A 22192-nucleotide genomic window follows, 5' to 3' on the forward strand; every position below is an offset into this window, starting at 1 on the left:
AACTCTGCACCCAGTCCCTTTGCTCACCTTGGTCCCACTTCTTTCTTCTTAAGTTCCAAAGAGCTGCACTCAGCCCTCAGGTCTCAGCATGCTGTGGAAAGCACACGTGTTTGGAACTGATGGCACTTGAGCCTCAGCTAAACCCTAACAAGCGTCACCCTCCCGGCCCTGGTGGTCCCATCTGTGCACCAAGCCAAAATTGCCTGCCTGCTTTCCGTGTGGTATCATGGTGTTGATCAGAGGAAACAGACACCATTAATATAATGAGCACGTCCGATCTAGCAGCCTGGAGTTTACCCAGCCTTGAAATAGACAGAGGGGACCCTTAGCTGAGGGAAGCTGATTAAGAGTCAGCCATGGGCCAGGCACAGTGGCTCATGTCTGTAAAACCAGCACTTTGGGAGTCCAAGCTAGGTGGATCACCTGAGGTCAGGAGTTCGAGCCCAGCCTGGCCAACATGGTAAAACCACGCCTCTACTAAAAATACAAAAATTAGCCAGGCGTGGTGGCAAGTACTTCTAATCCCAGCTACTTGGGAGGCTGAGGCAGGAGAATCGTTTGAACCCAGGAGACAGAGGTTGCTGCGAGCCGAGACTGCACCATTGCACTCCAACCTGGGCAACAAGAGCGAAATTCCATCTCAAAAAAAAAAAAAAAGTTGTCCAGGCACGGTGGCTCATGCCTGTAATCCCAGCACTTTGGGAGGCTGAGGCGGGCGGATCACGAGGTCAGGAGATTGAGACCATACTGGCCAACGTGTTGAAACCCCTTCTCTACTAAAAATACAAAAATTAGCTGGGTGTGGTAGCGTGTGCCTGTAATCTCAGCTACTCAGGAGGCTGAGGCAGGAGAATCCCTTGAACCCGGGAGGTGGAGGTTGCAGTGAGCTGAGATCACGCCACTGCACTCCAACCTGGTGACAGAGCGAGACTCTGTCTCAAAAAAAAAAAAAGTCAGCCATGTCCTGTAGCGGTAGGGATTCAAGGCGGCATCTATGAAGCTGCAATAGTTAGAATAAAGGACAACTATCAGGAGTCATGAGAAAGCAGGCTTGTATCAACATCACTCAAAATCAGTATCTAAAACAGCACCCGGCACACAGGGGACTCTGCTTAAATGACCGCGGGTGAACACAGAACCTACCTCTCCCACCATTCACTCCCTCCTTCCTACTGGATCTTTGTTTGGTTTCTTTATCTCAGAGTCCCTGCGTGGAGCAAACCAGTTGTACCTGGAAAAGCTGTGCTGTCTCTTTAAGTCCCTCGCGAGTCTCCCGACTTTCTTTGGCATCAGAATTGGGCATCTCTGGGAATCTGACCCACATCTGTGCAGAATAAAGAACAATTATCAAGCTGAAACATGCCCTGCACCCAACACACCTACTTAATTGGTGCTTTACTTAAGCTAATGTTTCAGATTATTTGGGCCTCCCCAATGCATCGAGTTGAAAAGGCAAAGCTCATTTGCTGCTAGTGTCCCTTGATGCCTCATGTGCCTCGTATGCTCCACACATGCACGAAAGCCTTCCAGGGTGTGCGTGGGCATGAACCTAGTTAATAATGCTTTTTGCTTCTTAGCAATTGCCAGCTTCGTAGGCAGAGCTTTTTGAACGTGTTTCTGGAAACCTCTTCTGAACCACAGGACTAGAATAGAATAGCAGACACTCTGTAAATATTTGTAGAGTGACCGAACAACACAGAGGGGGCAAAGCATAGTGGCTAAGAAGGATTAAGATGTTGGCTTCGGACAGATCTAGGATCTGGGTGTGAGTATCAGCTCTGTCTGTGGGGCCTGAAGCTGTCTAAACACATGTCTTCATAAGCTGAACTGATAAAATAAAATCATATTGATAAAACTGGCAAGGAGGAAGTACTTTTAAAATGTTAGTTGTTGAAGGTGACTATATACATGATTGCTGACCAGGGACACTTTTGATAGTGAATAGGGGACTATAATAATCATACCAGGGCCAGGCACAATGACTCACGTCTGTAATCCCATCACTTTGGGAGGCCGAGGCAGGTGGATCACCTGCGGTTAGAAGTTTGAGACCAGCCTGGCCAACATGATGAAACCCCATCTCCACTAAAAATATAAAAAATTAGCCAGACATGGTGGTGTGTGCCTGTAGCCCCAGCTACTTGGGAGGCTGAGGCAGGAGAATTGCTTGAACCCGGGAGGCAGAGGTTGCAGTGAGCCAAATCATGCCACTGCACTCTAGCCTGGGCAACAGAGCGAGACTGTCTCAAAAAAAAAAAAAGTCATAACAGAATAACAGGCGTAAACCAGGTCTAGCCCAACAACCAAGGGTTGTGGGTACCCCGGCTATTATTATTTAATAGAGGAGATGCTTAGAGATCATCAAATCCAACATATTTATTTGACATATGAAGCTAGTGAACCTGAATAGGCTGAGCAACCTGAAGTCACACTGCCTATTAGCAGAACATTGCTTTAAGGTCACACTGGTTTTGGTCCCAGGCTCTGGGTCCCACTTGGGGAGCTAAGCTACCAGCGGTTGTCTCCATAACACTGCAGAAAAGAGCTGTGAGGAGGTGACCTCTAAGCCCCACCAAGGTTCTGAAAGATCCTCATTTACAAAGGATGGCAGTGAACTTCAGAGATGTTAAAAAACCTCTCTGAGGTGGCCCCAGGCCACACAACAGTGTGTGATTGCTAACGATGTGTTTCCTGGATTCTCTTGCACTGAAGTAGAAGATTTCATCATGTAGATTCTTTTTTTTTTTTTTTTTTTGAGTTGGAGTCTCGCTGTGTTGCCCAGACTGGAGTGCAATGCCACAATCTCGATCTCGGCTCACTGCAACCTCTGCCTCCTAGGTTCAAGCGATTCTCCTGCCTCAGCCTCCCGAGTAGCTGGATTACAGGCACCCACCAATGTGCCCGGCTAATTTTTGTACTTTTGTAGAGACAGGGTTTCACCATGTTGGCCAGGCTGCTCTTGAACTCCTAACCTCAGGCGATCCACCCACCTCGGCCTCCCAAAGTGCTGGGATTACAGGCGTGAGCCGCTGCGCCGGGCCACCGTGTAGATTCTTATACCAGGAATGGTAGCTAGCGTCCTGGTTTCGGTGATACCAACAACCTACTTTCAGCTTCCCCTGTCTTCTTTCAGCGTGTTTGTTTCAGAAATCACTGGTTCATCCTGATTATTGACACATCCTGGTCAGAATTAACTGCTCCCATTCATGTCTCTATCATAGTATAATTACTTTTTTGTTTATTTATTTAGAGACAGAGTCTCACTCAGTTGCCTAGGCTGGAGTCTAGAGTGCAATGGCGTGATCTCGGCTCACTGCAACCTCCGCCTCCCAGGTTCAAGCAATTCTCCTGCCTCAGTCTCCCATGTAGCTGGGATTACAGGTGCATGCCACCATGCCCGGCTAATTTTTGTAGTTCTAGTACTCATGGGGTTTCACCATGTTGGCCAGGCTGGTCTCAAACTCCTGACCTCAAGTGATCTTCCCACCTTGGCCTCCCAAAGTGCTGGGATTACAGGCGTGAGCCACCACACACAGCCTAATTACTTGTTTATATGTCTGCTCCTAGAGACTCAGTTATTTAGAGACAGATGCCGTGCTTGGCACAGTGGGTGGGATACCATGGCTCTCAGGTAAACATTTGCTGAATGTCATTGTTCTCAATGTCTGTCACATTGCTTACCATTGGGAGGAACTGACAATGACCTAGCTTTCCCAGTCAAGATGCAAGAACTCTCAAAAAGACCCCCAAACATCCCTGCTGAATGAAATGTCTTAGCTCCAGTCTTACCTCCAGTGAGAAATAATGGGCGGCACCCCACCCCCCTGCTAAATAACTCAGCCTAATTTATACTTGATAGGTTTCCCCATTCACGTCCTTTTTCCAGAGCATTTTCATTTCTCCCTTAAATCCTGGAAAATCACTATTTATCTCATCTGTGAGCTAGAGCCGGCTCTCCTGGTTCACAGGAGCCAACTGTGTGCACCTCTTGCCAAGGCCATGTTTAGGGAAGACACATAGATAGCTCGAAATGAGCCATTCTGGAAGTATTTACACTATGGAAATCAGCAAACACTACAAATCAAGGCTTTTTAGAACATTTCTTAGAAAACCAGTTGTTAAACATTTGCCAGTACACCACTGCCTATGTGATACCAAGCCCTCCTTCCCCTCACTCTGCCTGCTTGTACATGTCTTAATGCTCTGGAGCCACCAGCCAGTCTCTCCAGTTTCGACCATGTTATCCATTTTCTCCCAAGACCCATCTGAGTGCCGCTCAACCCTTCTGCTTGTCCCTGCCAATTGTGGGTAGCCAGCACACCGCGGTTCTAAAAGAGGTATTATCTATAACAGAATCTCTTACAACCAAGTCCCATCACCCCAAATGAGTCAGTTCAGCACGCTGCTTGTAAAAATGTGTTTACAGAATGTCTTTCAGATCCATGCTTTGCACATGCCTTCACTTGCTAAAGAATTATCCAGTTCCCCTCCACTTCCCCGCTCTCATGTCCCAAACAAAGTGTGATCATCACATTTTTAAATCTCCAGCACACCCTGGGTCTTGTCAGGCAGCCGCATACGGACTGAGTTTCTTTTAAACAGGCTAAAATTTCTCGTCTCTCAGCTTAGTCTTCATGGCTTTGACTAGGGGAAAAGGCACTCACCACTTCCAAGCCAGGCTGCCAAGAAAAGGCTCAGCAGAGCCCCCCAAGTCTCTTTTTGAGGAACGCTCTGATTTACAGAATTAAGTTATGGCCCGACTCTTCAAACGGATAATCACAGACTGTAGCAAAACTCTGAGACTGAAATGCGAGCTGCCGTTTTGCAGCGTGCACTGTGATTTTTAGCAAAGCCTGTTTAAATTGTGACGCTCTCCTCACAGCCCTGCCTTTCATTTCTGTCAGTTTCCAGGCACTGGGGCTCTTTTCTTTGGAGAATGATACATCCAGGCTGGGACTTCAACTGGCTTTCCCCATCAACATTTCTTTACAACGTTTTTAAAAATCAGAGATAAAGTTTTACTTGAAGAGAAGTCTTATATAACTCTATTGCCTGCCCTGCTAGTCCTGACTGTGCTACAAAGGACTGGGTTGAGGGCCGCGTGCTTCCCTGAGAAGACGTAAGCCTTTTAAAGCAATGAAATGATCACTTCTCATTAATTTAGCTGTAACTCAATTATTTTGGAAACAAAACAAAGAGACTGTGGAAAATCTTGCTAAAAATAGCAAATCAATGAAGTGGAATGGTTGGTTTTAAGACAATTAATTATGCAACAGTAATGTTCTTAATCATCTCTAAAGGAAACTATTTGCTCATAGTATTAGAAGAGATCAAGCAAGGACCTTGCCAGTCACCCCCTAGTCCCAGCTCATCATTTAGTGCCCTCTGGGGCTGGTTGTTTCTAACTGGTTTTCACCGTGGGAGGATAGACAGAGTGGGACTAGGGAAGCTGCAAGCCCTATTTTGGCCACCTGGGTATCATCAAGGAAGAAGAATTCAAGCATATTCCTTTCGTCGATGGCTCCTTTCAGTGTGGAGGAAAACCCCAGTGCCCAACCAATTTCCCCTGCTCATCATTACACAAAATCCCTGCACTAGAATACACAGGCAGACAGACTGCTTTCAGCAATTGATGTGCGTGTCTTAAAGTAGGGTCTGACAGCGCACACACTATGCAGCCAGTGGAACCCAAGTGCACACAGCCTCACACAGCATGAGCATCAACATCTGGTTCCCACTCTTCATTATGGAGACGACTTGCATTTATTGAATGCTTGCTGCATGCCACATGCAGTTCTAGGCACTGTACACACATCCAGTCGTTTTAAATTCTGTGGTCAAAGGAGTATAACATAAAGTGTACCATATTGGTCTTTTTTTTTTTTTTGAAACAGAGTCCGGCTCTGTTGCTCAGGCTGGAGTGCAGTGTCGTCATCTCGGCTCACTGCAACCTCCGCCTCCTAGGTTTATGTGATTCTCCTGCCTCAGCCTCCCGAGTAGCTGGGATTACAGGTGCCCGGCACCATGCCCGGCTAATTTTTGTATTTTTGGTAGAGACAGGGTTTCACCATGTTTGCCAGGCTGGTCTCGAACTCTTCACCTCAAGGGATCTACCTGCTTCGGCCTCCTAAAGTGCTGGGATTACAGGCATGAGCCACCGCACCTGGCCCATATTGGTCATTTTTAAGTGCACCGTTTGTTCATTAAGATCGTTCACGTTGTTGTGCAATCATTGCCACCATCCATCTCCAGCACTTTTTCATGATCCCAAACTGCACAGATCCACTCTTTAATCCTATGAGGTAGGGTATTAGCCCTATTTACAGATGGGGAAACTAAGGCACAGGGCCATGCAGTAAGTAGCATCTCTTTAAAGAGATGGCTATAGGCTGGGCACAGTGGTAATCCCAGCACTTTGGGAGGCCGAGGTGGGTGGATCACCTGAGGTCAGGAGTTTGAGACCAGCCTTGCCAACATGGTGTAACCCCGTCTCCACTAAAAATACAAAAATTAGCCGGGTGTGGTGGTGCATGACTGTAATCCCAGCTACTCAGGAGGCTGAGGCAGGAGAATCGCTTGAACCTGGGAGGTGGAGGTTGCAGTGAGCCAAGATCGTGCCACTGCACTCCAGCTTGGGTGACAGAGTGAGACTCTGTCTCGGAAGAAGGAAGGAGGGAAGGAAGGAAGGAAGGGAGGGAGGGAGGGAGGAAGGGAGGGAGGGGATAGTGACATTGGGAATCTAACTCTGCCCTGAACCATATGGGAAACCATTTCTGAATTAGTGCTCTGGGTAACGTTGTCCCCCTCACATAATGCAGCATATCTTATGTCTGTAAACCAGGGCTTGGCAAGTGTTTTCTTGCAAAGGCCATTACAGATTCTTTAGGCTTCGCAGGCCACACAGTCTCTGTTACAAATACTCTCCTCTGCCCTTGTAGCAAAAGCAGCCCTAGATCATATGTGTGTATGTCATGGGCATGGCTGTATCCCAATGAAACTTGATTTTTGGATGCTGAAATTTGATGTCATATCATATTTTTACTGCGGTGAAATGGAAAGAACATACAATTTTATCATTTAACTATCTTAAAGCTACCATTCGATGGTGATAAGTACACCATTCGATGGTGATAAGTACATTCACATGGTTTTGAAACCATCACCCATCGCCCATCTCCACAAATGTTTCATCTTCTCAAACTGAAACTCGATGCACATTAAATACTAACTCCCCCTTCCTCCACCCCATCTACTGAAACCACCATCCTACTCTGCCTCTATGAATCTGACCACCCTAAGAACTTCATGTCAGTGGAATCATGCAGTATTTATCCTTTTGTGTCTGGCTTCTTTCCCATAGCATAAAGTGAATTTCCTATCATTTTTGCATATCAGAAAATGTTAGCCATCTTCTGATTTGTTTTCGGTGATTTGTAAAGGTACAAAGCTTTCTTACCTCACACAGCCTGTACCAAAGCAGGTGGTGGGATGGATTTGGCCCGTGGGCCATAGTTTGCCTGCCCCTGATCTCAACGTTTTCACAAATGTCAATCTGACCATCTGCTTTGTACAGCACAGAGAGGCCAAGCAACTTGTCTACAGTAACACAGCTGCAAACCTGGCCACACTCAAACCAGAAGCCAGGCATCTATATTCCCAGTTTGTTTCGGGAACAAAGGAGAAAAGTTTGAATCCTCCAGTTTTTTCACTGAAAGTGGTTCCATGCTGGGTGACGTCTTTAAAAGTTACTGTTGTTACTGGTAAAGGCACAGAGGTTTCTCCAGGCTTCCCATCCTGGAGAAGGGATTGGCAACGCATAAGACACTCTGCTTTAGAAGAAAGATCAAGTATGCACTCGTCCTCTGACTGTTGTTCAAGTCAAACAAACCAGGCCAGACAGCGAACAGTCAGCTTTATTCACTCAAGCCCTCCTTCACTGGAGCACACATTACTTTTCTATACGATGACTTGCCAAATGCTTAAAAGGCACATTTGAAAGAATAACAAATGCTACTCTGTTTCTTTCTGGTGGCCAGGACATCTTGTGTTTACAGTGTGGAGCTTGGGGGGCTTAGAAACACCCAGCCATATTCTGGCTTTCTTCTCCCAAGTCAGAGCTTGCACACATGGAGTTTTTTACATGCTGGCACTGGCAACAGGACCTTGGGCAGGGGACCCAAAGGGGGCCCACTGAAGGGTGAGGGCCAGCCTCCCCCAGCCTGGGCACTGATTGTTTGAACCGGGTTTTGAACACAGCCTGACATCTGCACGTATAGACCCGTGCCAGGGTACAGGGCAAGCAGAGCTCATGTGCGGGAAGAGAAACAGTCCAGGTTTATTTTCAACAGCTGTCTTTCAAGAGCTGCAAACAGAGAGCAAATGTGAATGACTGGGAAAAGGCTATTTCCCTATTTCTTCAATGAACCTGGTAAATTGCAATTTCCAAATCAGAGGAACTACCGGATCAATACAACCAACTTTGAAGGAATGTGTGAACGAAGAAGAAGAAGGCCAGGTGGGATGGCTCACGCCTGTAATCTCAGCACTTTGGGAGGCCGAGGCATGCGGATCAGCTGAGGTCAGGAATTCGAGACCAGCGTGGCCAACTTGGCAAAACCTCGTCTCTACTAAAAATACAAAAATTAGCGGGGTGTGGTGATGGGCACCTGTAGTCCCAGGTACTTGGGAAGCTGAGGCAGGAGAATCACTTGAACCCAGGAAGCGGAGGCTGCAGTGAACCGAGATTGTGCCACTGCACCCCAGCCTGGGAGACAGAGTAAGACTCCATCTCAAAAAAAAAAAAAAAAAAAAAAAAGGGCTGGGCACAGTGGCTCGTGCCTGTAATCCCAACACTTTGGGAGACTGAGGGCAGCAGATCACGAGGTCAGGAGTTCAAGACCAGCCTGACCAACATGGTGAAACCCCGTTTCTACTAAAAATGGAAAAATTAGCCAGGTGTGGTGGTGCGTGAGCCTGCAGTCCCAGCTACTCAAGAGGCTGAGGCAGGAGAATTGCTTGAACCCCGAGGCAGAGGTTGCAGTGAGCAGAGATTGTGCCACTGCACTCCTGCCTGGGCGACAGAGCAAGACTCTTGTCTCAAAAGAAAAAAAAAAAAAAAAAAAAAAGAAGAGCAATAAAAATAAGAATGAAGAGGGGGAGAAAGAGGAGGAGCAAGAGCAACTGTTGCTGCGAATCCAGTAACCATCCCATCAGTGTGGTCGCATGTGTCCTGCAAGGCCCTCATTCTGCAGGCACTGCGTTGGGTGCTCAAGGGATCCAAAGATGAGACTGGCCGTCAGTGGGTTTGCAGGCCAGGAGGGAGATGACACCTGTTTATCAATAACTGTAACACATGGCAATGCACACTAAAAAGCAGTAGGTAAAGCGCTGTTGGGCGGCAGGGAGGGGGGGGTCCCAGGTGGGAGGAGATTGCCTCAAGCCTGGGAGGGGTGAAGAAGAATGGGGAAGCCTGCAGGGACAGGCGGCTCTTGTGTTTAGCCTCCAGCATCCTTTCTGGCAGCCGGCTGGACTCTGACCAGCCCCTGGTTTCTGGACTCAGCATGTTGCTGTTTCTCATGACCAAGCTTCTTTAACCTTCACTGTCAATGGTGGGGCCCCAGCTCAGGCCTCGGGCCCAGGGCTCTCAGCTGACTCCCAGGTCCTGAGAACCAGAGCATTGCCTCATGCCTCACACTTCCCAACACCAGAGCCCAGACCCAGGTCGCATGCCCTGACTGCTGAAACATCAGCAGGCACCCACCTCCAGAAAGGGCTGCCCATCTAGGAGGACTCGTGTTGGTGCCTGGGGACAGCTCCACCAGCCTGGCTTAAAACCCTGGCACCCTGAAGACCCTGTGTGATCTCTATCTACAGGGCCTGCTGAGTCATAGGTGCCCCAGACAAGAGGAATGGATCATAGCAAGTCACGAATACCCTGGTGCTGGAAAGATGAAAGCAAACTGGAGTGGAACCAGAGTAATCCAAAACCTCAACAGAAAGAGCAGTGCCTGAGAGTCAAACGGGGGCCTTGGTGGAAACGAAGTCAAGGGCTTGAACGTTTTTCTGTTTTCACTGTGATTAAATAGAAACTTTTATATGTTGCAGTATATACTTCCTTAATGTTACTTAGGAAAATTTGGACAAATATGACTGCAGAAAAAAAGCTAAAACTTCTGCACAAAGGAGATCACAATTCAAATAAAATGTCAAACCAGGAATATCACTATCTTTACTACATAACTATTCCAAGCAAGAAGAAATAGATGCCTAGTCTTTTTAAATTGCAAAACGCATGAAGAAGCAGTTCTTAGAGTAGAAATAGAAATGACCAATAAGTATTTGTTTTAAATCAACCTCCCTAGTAATCAAAGAATTTCACATTAAAGCAAGTTTTAGACATAACTTTTCACCTATGCGAAGGCTTAAGAGACAAAAAGGATGCAAGTTGCAAGGACAGACACTTTCATACACCTCTGATGGAACTGAAATTTGCTCAGCCATTCTAGATGGCAGTTTTCAACATACGTCAAGCATCATTTTGAAATGTGTTTTACTTTTGCCCCAGCAACTTTTTACATCTAGGATTTGTCCTACGGAAAGGAGTATGGGTGTGCACAACGATTTATTTATAAAGCACATTTACTGCATTATACATTATAATAGTGAAAGACAGGAAACCATCTAAACGACCGACAGTGAATTAACTAAAAATAAAGAGCCAAACAATAAAATAGTACACACCATTAAACTTTCAAAAAAAGTTCAATGACAGGGAAAGATGTTCACAATAAACTAAGTGAAGAAAAGCATATGCAAAACAGTGTGGTATGGTGACATTTTTGTTTTAAAAAATCCCAAATGGTAATTATATAGAAAAGCATCTGGAAATATAAACTCCAAGATGTTAATGGAAGTTATTTCTGAATAGGTGGAATTGTGTGATTTTTAAAATTCTGTTTTTTCCATTTATTTATATGATTTGATTTTTCTGCAGTGATCATGTATTTCTTAGCAAGAAGAAAAGATTATTTTAATAATAAAAATACATACACAAACAAGACTGGGAATAACATTTGCAGCCAAGAGAAAATATGTCAAAGATAGCAAAGGTAGAAAGAGCACATATAAATGCATATGGAATGGAAAATTATATAACAGACCTGTCAACAAAGATGAATATATTCCTAGTGAAAAAAGACATGGAAAAGTGTTTAGCCAGGCTGGAGTGCAGTGGTGCGATCTCAGCTCACTGCAACCTCCGCCTCCCAGGTTCAAGTGATCAAAGAATTTCACATTAAAGCAACTTTTAAAGCCTCAGCCTGCCAAGTAGCTGGGACTACAGGTGTGCACCACCACGCCCAGCTAATTTTGTATTTTTAGTAGAGACAGAGTTTCACCATGTTGGCCAGGATGGTCTCAATCTCTTGACCTCGTGATCTGCCCACCTTGGCCTCCCAAAGTGCTGGGATTACAGGAGTGAGCCACCACGCCTGGCCTCAGCATCGTTACAAATGAAAAAACTGCAAAATTAATAAATGGAAGGAATAATTCTCCAATTTCCAATTCATTAAAGCACTCAAGTTTTGAAAACACATAATTTTTTCATGGAAAAGTGTTATATTAAATTAATTTTTAAAAGGAAATATCACTCTTACCCCTAAATATGTACAATTATTATGTGTCAATTAAAAATAAATTCAATTAATGCCAGGCGTGGTGGCCCATGCCTGTAATCCCAGCACTTTGGGAGGCCAACGGGGGCAGATTACATGAGGTCAGGAGTTCAAAACCAGCCTGGCCAACATGGTGAAACCCCATCTGTACTAAAAATACAAAAATTAGCCAGGCGTGGTGGCATGCGCCTGTAGCCCCAGCTACTCAGGAGGCTGAGGCAGGAGAACTGCTTGAACCTGGGAGGTGGAGGTTGCAGTGAGCTGAGATGGCACTGCTGCACTCCAGCCTGGGTAACAGAGTGAGACCCTGTCTCAAAAAAATCAAAAAGAAAAAATAAATAAATTAAAAAGTTAAAAAAGCGTTATACAAGTGCTTTAAAAGTTTAATCAACATAAAATGTTCAAAGACACACACCAAATCCTACAATCCAGAAATCGTAAGATTAATATTTTGTGAACATCATCCTGAATTTCTCTAAGGATACAGAGTGTGCAGAAATAATTTTATAATATTGTGGTTCTTGTTTTTATCTCTGCAGTTTCATAGTTCCCAGAACAGTATCTGGCACACAGGAGGCTCTACATACAACGTTAAATGATTAACAGACGAGTACCATATCATAATGCCATATTAGAATAAAAAGAATTTAAATTCTTTATAAAATTTAAATGAACTTAAATTTTATGGAAGGTAAAAAAAGCTGAAGGGATTTCTGAACTTAAAATAAATTGTTATTTCCAAAACAAATACAGTTGGCCTTCTGTGTCCGTGGGTTCTGCATCTGTGGATTCAATGAATCATGGATCAAAAATATTTGGAAAAAAAAATTCCACATGGTTTCAAAAAGTAGGCCTGGTGCAGTGGCTCACGCCTGTAATCCCAGCACTTTGGGAGGCCGAGATGGGTGGATCACTCAAACCCACGAGTTCAAGACCAGCCTGGGCAACATGGCAAAACCCCATCTCTACAAATAATACAAAAATTAGGTGACACGTGCCTGTAGCCAGCTACTAGAGGTTGGGAGAGTGCTGAATTAGGAAGATCGCTTGAGCCCAGGAGGCAGAGGTTGCCGTGAGCCAAGATCATGCCATAGCACTCCAGCCTGGTGAACAGAGTGAGACCCAGTCTCAAAGAAAAATAAAAAGTTCTGTAAAGCAAAACTTGAATTTGCCATGGGCTGAGTACTATGTTGAATCCATGCAAATGAAGTGATGTAAGCATCGGATTAGGTATTACAAACAATCTAGAGACAATTTAAAGAATGTGCATAGGTTATGTGCAAATACTATACCATTTTATATCAGGGACTTGATATAAATCCAAAGGGGTCCTGGAACCAATTCCCCACAAACACTGAGAGATGACTATTCGTACTTATAAATTCTCCCAAGGTTCAGAAAAATGATACTTAAAAATCATGAAGGCATTGGAGTCATGAGCTTTTTTTCAAATTTTTGTTTTAATTTTGATTTACTATTCTTTAAAAAAAGAAAGAGGAAATTTGCCATCATGTTCTCCCTTCTCCTTTTCCCCACTCCCTGGTTAAGTGTGTTGCATTTCTAAGTTCCTCATTTTATTTATTTATTTGTTTACCTTTTTTTTTTTTTTTAGGCAGAGTCTTGTTCTGTCACCCAGGCTGGAGTGCAGTGGCGCAATCTCTGCCTCCCGGGTTCAAGTGAGTCTCCTGCCCCAGCCTCCCAAGCAGCTGGGATTACAGGCATGTGCCACCATGCCTGGCTAATTTTTGTGTTTTTAGGAGAGACGGGGTTTCACTGTGTTGGCCAGGCTGGTCTCAAACTCCTGACCTCAAGTGATCCACCCACTTTGGCCTCCCAAAAGTGCTGGGATTACAGGCATGAGCCACCGCATCCACCCCAAGTTCCTCATTTTAATCCATCTTTTTGGTTGGCAGGGCTTTTTCACAGAAGAATACATGGGTACTATCGTCCCTGAACTCTTTCTTGTATCAGTGTCTGCCTGCGAGTCTTTTGCTTGAATGACAGCTTGCATCTGTTTAATATTTTTGGATTTTGCTTTCTTTCCTTCAGTACACTCTAGACATTACTCTATTGTCTTCTCTTAATAAGTCTGGGACACCTGACTTTTTTTCCCTTGCAGGCAGCCTGCAAGTCTGAAGGAGTCTTTGTTTATCCTCCAAGTTCAATATCTTAACCAGGATACAGGTTAATGTCAGTCATTACATATCATTTTTTCCCCTTGATGCCCTTTGATCTAAAAATTTGCAATTTATTTCTGATGACCTACATCTCTGAACATATTTTTCCCTATTTTTTTTGTTGGGTACCTAATTCAGAGACATCAATTATAATTATATTGGATCATCTTTGTCCTCCATAACTAGCATCTCCTCTAACCTACTGTAATCTTTGCCTTTTTCTTGTGTGTTTGCCATGAATAATTTCAGCACTTCTTCCATGCCAATAATTTGATTGTTCAGTCATATCTTTATTATTCCTTACTTCTCTTTTTTTTTTTCTTTTTTAGACTGAGTCTTGTTCTGTCACCCGGGCTGGTGCAGTGGTGCAATTTCAGCTCACTGCAACCTTCACCTCCCAGGTTCAAGCAATTCTCCTGCTTCAGCCTCCCAAGTAGCTGGGACTACAGGCTCACACTACCATAGCTAATTTTTTGTATTTTTAATATAGATGGGGTTTCACCATGTTAGCCAGGCTGGTCTCAAACTCCTGATCTCAAGTGATCTGCCTGCCTCAGCCTCCCAGACTGCTGGGATTATAGGCATGAACCACCATGCCTAGCCTTATTATTCCTTACTTCTAATTTATGAATTAAATCTTTCATAGTCTTATTAAGTTCTTTATTATATCAAAGATTCATAGGTAGTTCTTGAAGAATATGTTTTTGTCCAGGACAGGCCTTCATTGATTTTTTTTTCACCAATATTTCCTTTCTTTCATCTGCTGCTATTGTGTTCTATAGTGTGTTTAAATATTTGTCATACCATGTCTTATCATGTTGTTCAAGTTTAATGGGTACAGCTCTGTACACATCTATCTACTCTGTTTGTTGTTGCTGTTGTTTTTAAGAGACAGGGTCTCCTTATGTTGCCCAGGCTGGTCTTGAACTCCTAGCCTCAAGCCATCCACCCACCTCAGCCTCCCAAGTAGTTAGGATTACAGGCATAAGCCACTACATCTAGCTCAACACCTATTTATTCTGAAATAGTGGGGGGATTTTCCTTGACAACTTTCTCACTTTATCTCGGGCTCAATGTCATCTGGGCTACAGTGTGGAGATAGATTTTACTAACTCTCCACCCTTCTAAAGTCAGGGGACAAGGAAATGGGGAAGGGGCAGGTCAGGAGTAGGAGCTTGGCCAGTAGCCTTCTCTTGGAAGTTTGGGCTCTGCTCTCTCTCTCTCGGGATCCCACTAAATGTCAGAAATTAAGGTTCATTCCATCCAGCCATTGCTATATCACACTTCTGTGTGTTTTGGCTTCCTGAACAATGGCAAGCCTTGGCAACCCCTCCTTTCTCCACTAAGGTTTCCAGGTGACATTTAGGGCCTTCCAAACTCAAGGGATCTTTCCCCTGAACTTTTCATGGAACTGCTTACTCTTGTCTTCTCTGCTAGAGGTCATGTTTTTCTCTAGACTGAAGAATATTAGTAAGAATCCTCCAAGTTTCATTAATTCCTTCTTTCATTGGAGAGAGCAGTTTGAATTCAGGAGCTGTACTACATCAGAATTTTCTGGTTCTTTCCAAGGTCATGACTTTTCTTTTCTTTTCTTTTCTTTTCTTTTCTTTTCTTTTCTTTTCTTTCTTTTTTTCTCCCAGGGTCTCACTCTGTCACCCAGGCTGGAGTGCAGTGGTGCAATCATAGCTCACCGTAGCCTCAATCTCCAAGGCTCAAGCGATCTTCGCACCTTCACCTCCCAAGTAGCTGGGACTACAGGTGTGCACCAACATGCCTGGCTGACTTTTTTGTACTTTTTTTCTAGAGACGAGGTCTCCCTATGCTGCCCAGGCTGGTCTCAAACTCCTGGGTTCTAGCCTTCCTCCTGCCTTGGCCTCCCAAAGTGCTGAGATTATAGGCATGAGCCACCACACCCAGCCTGGTCATGACTTTTCTAGATACAAAGGTAATTCCTTGTTTAGTTACTACTTACATTTGTTCTTGTTGTGATTTTATTTCTGTTTATTGACTACTTTATTTCATTAGGAATGGCTGAGGATATATATCCTTCTTCCTTCTGTAGCCAAAAACTCTTCCCTCTGTTCTTAAGCAGAACATACTGAACATAACTTTTCTGATGACTCAGGGGCCTCCTTGAGATCATAGTCATTACTCCTTAGATAAAGCTGTAGCCCCAGGGCTTGAGGAGGCTGTAGTAGAAAGGAGGGTACCTGAGGCCTCATGACAGGACCCAATCTTTGATGCTGGTAGCTTCTTGTTTCCTTTCCTCTATTCCATAAGGGCAAGATTAGCCTGTAAAATTACAAGCTCCTCTGACCAGTGGGAAAAAATGTGCTTCCCATAAAACCAAATTCACTGGAAAAGTCAAGAGGAAGAAGCCTCATTCCAAGGGGTTCTCCTGTTGCAATTCATTATCTTTACTCCTGCTTTCAGGGTACTCTGACATGTGATCACTATTAAAGGGTGATTGGTGATGCTGGCATCACTAAGACAAATGCCTGAAGTGCTTCCTTGTCAACCTGCTCACTCTCCACTGTCACAGCAATAGCAGGTAAGTCACACCATTTTGAGGCTCTAGGATGGAGGCTCTACCTAGGGTTTCTTGGTTGTGAGCAACAGAAAGCAACTCTGGATAACTTAAGCAGAAAAACATCTCATTTGGAACTTATGAGATACTTCACATATTTAAAAAGAGATTGAGAAGTCAGGGCTAGAAGACATGTGACTAGGGGAGCTCCCAGAACCTAAGAGGAAGGACATCGAAGACAATCTCTCCTCAGCACTCTTGTTGAAAGGAATCAGCTCCAGCCATCTTCAGTCCTGACATTGCTCTACTCAAGATTTAAATTCATGGAGAGAGAAGGTCTGATCGGCCCATGCTTTGATGAAGAGAGAGCAAAAGACCTTGGAAAGATAGTCCTCCAAAGCAATGCCAAGTTTCTGCCAACGAAAGAAAAAGGCCTTGCAGGGCAGGCAGAACCACAGCTGTCTATAAACTTGGCACCAGAAGATGCTAAGTGGTGGTTGGCACGTCACCAGGCCTTCCCTTAGAAAAGCATTTCACTTTTGACAAAATGTGAGACACAAGACAAGAATAAAAATTGTACCTTCAATGTTATATTATGTGATGTGTCAAATTTTCTCAAAACATTCTAAGCTACAGTAACATTTTGTAGTCTGAATAATACACCCTGATGCTTAGGTTTAAACCACTAACCTTGCCTTTATGAGGGAAAATGTCAAACTACTGGTTAGCATTAGAATAGCTGCCCATTCAGAGATAGCTGGCCATTCATAAAGAATGCTGTAGAGGAGAGCATCAGTCTGAACAGTTTAACTGGCAAAACAGGTGATCCGGGCTCCTTTCAGAGGGTGGTCTGCAGAGCAGCAGCATCTGTAGCACCTGGGAGCTTATCGATAATGCAGTCTCTCAGCTCCTACCCCAGACCTACTGAGTCAGAATCTGCATTTTGACGAGTGTGATTTGTGCCCACATGAAAATATGAGAAGCATAGATTCTGAGAGCAAAGTCTAGAACCAGACTGCCTGGGTTAACAAGTCACTGATGTAGGAAACTCTTGAGAGAAGAATGTCAGCTAATGAATACAGACCAGAAGGATGGGATGAGACGCCCACCATTTTGCTGTCTGTAATGTTATAATGCACCTTGATCACACATACTGATGGCTGCTAAGACAAGTGGAAGACTCCAGCAGAGTTGTGTGATGCATTGATCAGGATGACATCACCTGGCCCACTGGACAATCTTCACATCATCAAAAACAGAGTCACCAGAGAATCTGTGCAATAGGCAGGAATAGTATCGCCCAGAAAACATTATTTCCAGAAAATTCAACCTCAATCAAATCCACTTCTGGCTCTAACACACAGTTTAAAGGAAGTATAGGGGACAGAGGAACATGTTAAATGACACCACAGAGATATAAATAGCAAAATCCAGAATATGGAACTTTTTACAAATAAATGGCAAAGGGAAAGAAGTGGGAAACTTACAGATTTGAAGAAACGAAACACAACAACCAAATACACCATTGGGTGGTTGTGCCCTGATTCAGACATTACAACTGCAAAAGAACAGGTTTGAGGCAGTTAGGGGAACTGGACATGGACCAAGTATTAGAGGATATAAAGGAATAATTTTGGGGGTGTGATAATCTTATTATAGTAATATTAAAAAAAGAAAAGTCCTTATCTGTTACAAAGGCTTATGAAAGTAGTTACAGGTGAAATGATGTGGTATCCAGGATTCAAATACTCCAGAAAACAACAAATGTGAGGAAGAAAAATAAAACAAGAATGGCAGAATGCTGATCCTTGTTCAAAGTGGGTGATGGATGCATGGGGGTTTATTATACAACTTTTTTCTACTTTTATATATGTTTAAATTTTTCTATAATAAAAGTTTTTTTTTAAAAAACAACCTGGGCTCATTTCCTGGCTCCAACCCTCCCCTGCTCTGTGACAAAGAGAAAGTTACTGTGGCCGGGCGCAGTGGCTCACACCTGTAATGCCAGCACTTTGGGAGGCCGAGGCAGGCAGATCATGAGGTCAGGAGATCGAGACCATCCCGGCTAACACAGTGAAACCCCGTGTGTACTAAAAATACAAAAAATTAGCTGGGAGTGGTGGCGGGCGCCTGTAGTCCCAGCTACTCGGGAGGCTGAGGCAGGAGAATGGCGTGAACCTGGGAGGCGGAGCTTGCAGTGAGCCGAGATCGTGCCACTGCACTCCAGCTTGGGCGACAGAGCCAGACTCTGTCTCAAAAAAAAAAAAAAAAAAAAGAGAGAGTTACTGAACCTTTCTGGGCCTCAATGTCCCCATCTATAAAATAAGAATAACAATAATACCTGCCTCATTGGCATGTTGTGAGGATCACATGAGGCAATACGTGTAATGCACATTCAATATCCAGCACATAGTAAATACTCAATAAACACTACCCATATTTATATACTAGCTCAGCTTCTGCACAGCAACAGATCAAAACAAGGCATTTCTGAAAGCCCTGAATCAATAAAATCCTTAAAGGTGAAGAGCTTACCTTATGAGAACATTATCAAATACAAAAGCTGTTCCCTCTCAATAAAAGCTGATGTACACTGTCTAAACATGCAGATTCCATGGAGTTATAAAGCCCTTCTGGCCTTAGTCCATGCTCGGAAATCAGTTGCCTGAAGAGTCCACGGGGTGCTCCTAGAAGGCCATCAGTTGCTATTTTTCTCTATCAAGCTTTCACAATGGTATGTCTCAGTTTTTAACAGCAGTTTTTCCTTTTTGAAAAATGGCTACCACTGCACAACCCCAGCCATGAGGTCATCACTCCAGTGCTTCGCAGTCACCTGGAGGGCTTGGCGAAACAGATTGCCAAAGATGCATTCTATCACTGGGTGGCTGCACCATGGCTTTAAACGACTGCAGCTGTCAAGGAGCCTCCGTTTTTGCATCTGTAAAATGGGCATAATGACATCTCCTGTGTGTGATCTTTGTGAAGACTGAGTAACACACATACACGTAAAGCACTCGTTTCAAGAAAGATTCTTTTCTTTTTTTTTTTTTTTTGAAACAGGGTCTCACTTTGTCACCCAGACTGGAGTGCAGTGGAATAGCGCAATCATAGGTCACTGCCGCCTTGAACTCCTGGGCTCAAACCTTCCTCCCACCTCAGCCTCCTGAGTAGCTGGAACTATAGGCATGTGCCACCATGTCCATTTAATTTTTGTAACTTTAGTAGAGACGAGGGTTTCTCTGTGTTGACCAGGCTGGTCTCTAACTCCTGGCTTCAACCAATCTTCGCTCCTCAGCCTCCCCAAACACTGGGATTACAGGCATGAGCCACCACACCTGGCTCAGGGGAGATTCTTGGTGTTAGCTAGTTTCTTCTCAGAGGCGGTATCGTCCCCTCTTCAGACCATCCTCACCCTGCCCTTGCTGTGGTGACAAGCCCTTCACTTCATTACCGCTGGCCTCACCCTGGCCCCTCCCCTTCTCTTCTCTTCTCTTTTCTTTTTTTTTTTTTTTTTTTTTTTTTTTTTGAGATGGAGTCTCGCTCTGTTACCAGGCTGGAGTGCAATGGCGCAATCTCAGCTCACTGCAACCTCCGCCTCCTAGGTTCAAGCGATTCTCCTGCCTCAGCCTCCTGAGTAGCTGGGACTACAGGCATGCACCACCATGCCTGGCTAATTTTTGTATTTTTAGTAGAGACGGGGTTTCACCATGTTGTCCAGGATGGTCTCGATCTCTTGACCTCATGATCCGCCTGCCTTAGCCTCCCAAAGTGCTGGGATTACAGGCATGAGCCACCACGCCCGGCCGTCACCCGTGGGACCAGCATCTCTCTCCCCAAGCCCTCACACATTCCCCACTGTCCAGGTAGCCCTCTCACGGCTTTCCTGTGGCCCTGGCACCTCTACCCTGAGTTTGAAACGTAGCAGCTTTTATAGATGCTGCAAACTGATTCTTTCAACTGCTCACCACTTAACCCCCACTCATGATTTAAAAATTCCAGTGGAGGCTTCATCACATCTCAATCCTGGAAAGGTGTCTTTGAAACTCATGCAATCCAAACAGGGACATAGGTTTCATTCCTTGATTATGGAACGGAGGGAATGCTCTGTTACCCTTGAAAGAAGGGGAAAGGACAAAACATATGATTCCTGGCTCTCCACCCCATATCCTACAGGAAATGCTAGCGTCATAAATTACAAGGCCCCGTGGCTGCGGATGGTACCGAGTGTGGGGTGGCAGGGAGTGGACCTCAGGCAATGCATGGCCAATGGGAAGAAGATCGTTCATTCCCACAGTCTCTCAGGATTCGGGTATTCATGCTCTTCTGCTTTTAGAATATTCCAGAAGCCTTCGTGCCCTCCGTAATCTCTACAATGTGACTACCCTTCAGTAGACACTGCGGCACTGGCTGGGGGGAAAGATGATTCAGGATCTGGGCCAGGTGACCCAGGGATGGGAATTAGTCCCCTTCCCTGTTCCCTGCAGCATGGTGAAGTCTATGTGGCAGTAACATGACACCCCAAGTCACACTAACTGGTTACATATGACTGAGAGCAGGGACTAAAGCAGAGTAAAGGGGGTCCAAACCCCCCACTCTCCTAGTGAACCCCCAGGAGCTCCTCAGTCCTGAGCCCCACGCAGATGGGCTGAGTCCCCCAGCAGCCTGGGCTATGCCCACAGGGCAGGAGTGGCTGCCACAGCTCAGACTACTATGCTTGATAGACTGCAGAGCCAGCTTTTGTCCCAGGTCACCCACCATTAGCACAGCAAGGCCATGGCCCCTCCTCCTGTTGGATGGCTGGTCACAGCTGCTGGGAGGCCCTCTCCTAATGTCATCAGGGAATGGTTTTTATACCACAGGGCAGTAAAGAAGCCCTGCTAGGGGTTTTCTAGAAGCTCCCCATGAAGGCCGAGCTGGCCGACACACAGCCCAGGCAGGGAGATAACGTGTGTAGGGCCCTGCAACTGCCAGGGTGATCTGAGGACCAGCAGCCTTGACCTCCCCGGGGAGCTTGTTAGAATCACAGAATCTCAGACGTCACTCCGGACCTGCCAAATCTGCCTCTACCTTGTGACAAGATCGGCAGGTGATCTGTAAGCACATTCAAGTTTAAGAAACACTCATTTATGAAGCTTGTTGCAGCCAAATCACTCAAGGTAGCAATCAACTCCCGCTGTGATATCATTAAGGAGAACTTGGCTTCATCCTCAAAGCCACTTGGGAACAGGATGTGGGAAGGGGAGCCCTGAGAAAGGGCTGTGTCTGGTTTAAATCAAATCAAATATGGGCTACGACCTGGTGTGCAGAACCCCAGCTCCTCTTTGCGTCTGTGGCTGATGTGGAGGTGGGAACGCTGTGGTCCATGGCCAGGTAGCCACAGGTGGCCAGCTGCATGGTGCCGCTTCAGTCCAAGCAAGACAGGTCCATAGTTCCCATCTCAACCCCACCCAGGGAAGCTGGAAATTCACCTGGCAAACAAGAACAAACCAGTCACATTTTTGTACTGCTTTTTCCAATGGCCTAAATTATAACATTAATAATTATTGTTATTAGTATCATAGTAGTAACAGCTACAGTTACCAAAAACTTACCATGAGCCAGGAACCTGATGCAATTAACTCCTGTCATTGCCCCAGGAGTCCCTGTTCACTAACCCACGGTCTCAAAGGCGGCTTCTGCGGGAGTCCAGTGATCTCTCCCCTAAGGAAGGTTCTATTGGGCGCTAAAAAGTTCCACACAGCAGGTGGAGGGGAAAACAACATGGAAAACCCAAACCTGGATACTAACCATGGAGGAACCAGTGCTGTGGAAAGAAC

The 22192-nt window shown here is 45.1% G+C and overlaps 1 long non-coding RNA gene across 1 annotated transcript, besides 3 other annotated features; it reads right to left on the reverse strand.

The window, feature by feature from the left end:
- Nucleotides 1-5: 5 nt before the first annotated feature.
- On the reverse strand, nucleotides 6-21844 carry LOC107984183 (uncharacterized). The gene is made up of 3 exons (XR_001747308.1): nucleotides 21672-21844; nucleotides 1232-1324; nucleotides 6-91 (listed from the first exon to the last, which is right to left on the reverse strand). It is a non-coding gene; the product is annotated as an uncharacterized LOC107984183 (long non-coding RNA).
- Nucleotides 149-650: an enhancer, noted in NCBI's record as "H3K4me1 hESC enhancer chr10:123383269-123383770 (GRCh37/hg19 assembly coordinates)". NCBI's record gives its function as "activates a minimal SCP1, AML or CMV promoter by ChIP-STARR-seq in naive and primed H9 embryonic stem cells {active_cell/tissue: H9 hESC(naive and primed)}" and the evidence as "EXISTENCE:reporter gene assay evidence [ECO:0000049][PMID:30033119]".
- Nucleotides 651-1150: an enhancer, noted in NCBI's record as "H3K4me1 hESC enhancer chr10:123383771-123384270 (GRCh37/hg19 assembly coordinates)". NCBI's record gives its function as "activates a minimal SCP1, AML or CMV promoter by ChIP-STARR-seq in naive H9 embryonic stem cells {active_cell/tissue: H9 hESC(naive)}" and the evidence as "EXISTENCE:reporter gene assay evidence [ECO:0000049][PMID:30033119]".
- Nucleotides 20665-21166: an enhancer, noted in NCBI's record as "H3K4me1 hESC enhancer chr10:123403785-123404286 (GRCh37/hg19 assembly coordinates)". NCBI's record gives its function as "activates a minimal SCP1, AML or CMV promoter by ChIP-STARR-seq in naive H9 embryonic stem cells {active_cell/tissue: H9 hESC(naive)}" and the evidence as "EXISTENCE:reporter gene assay evidence [ECO:0000049][PMID:30033119]".
- Nucleotides 21845-22192: the final 348 nt, after the last annotated feature.

The sequence above is a fragment of the Homo sapiens genome, chromosome 10 (genome assembly GCF_000001405.40).
Source record: "Homo sapiens chromosome 10, GRCh38.p14 Primary Assembly".
NCBI classification, from domain to species: Eukaryota; Metazoa; Chordata; class Mammalia; order Primates; family Hominidae; genus Homo; species Homo sapiens.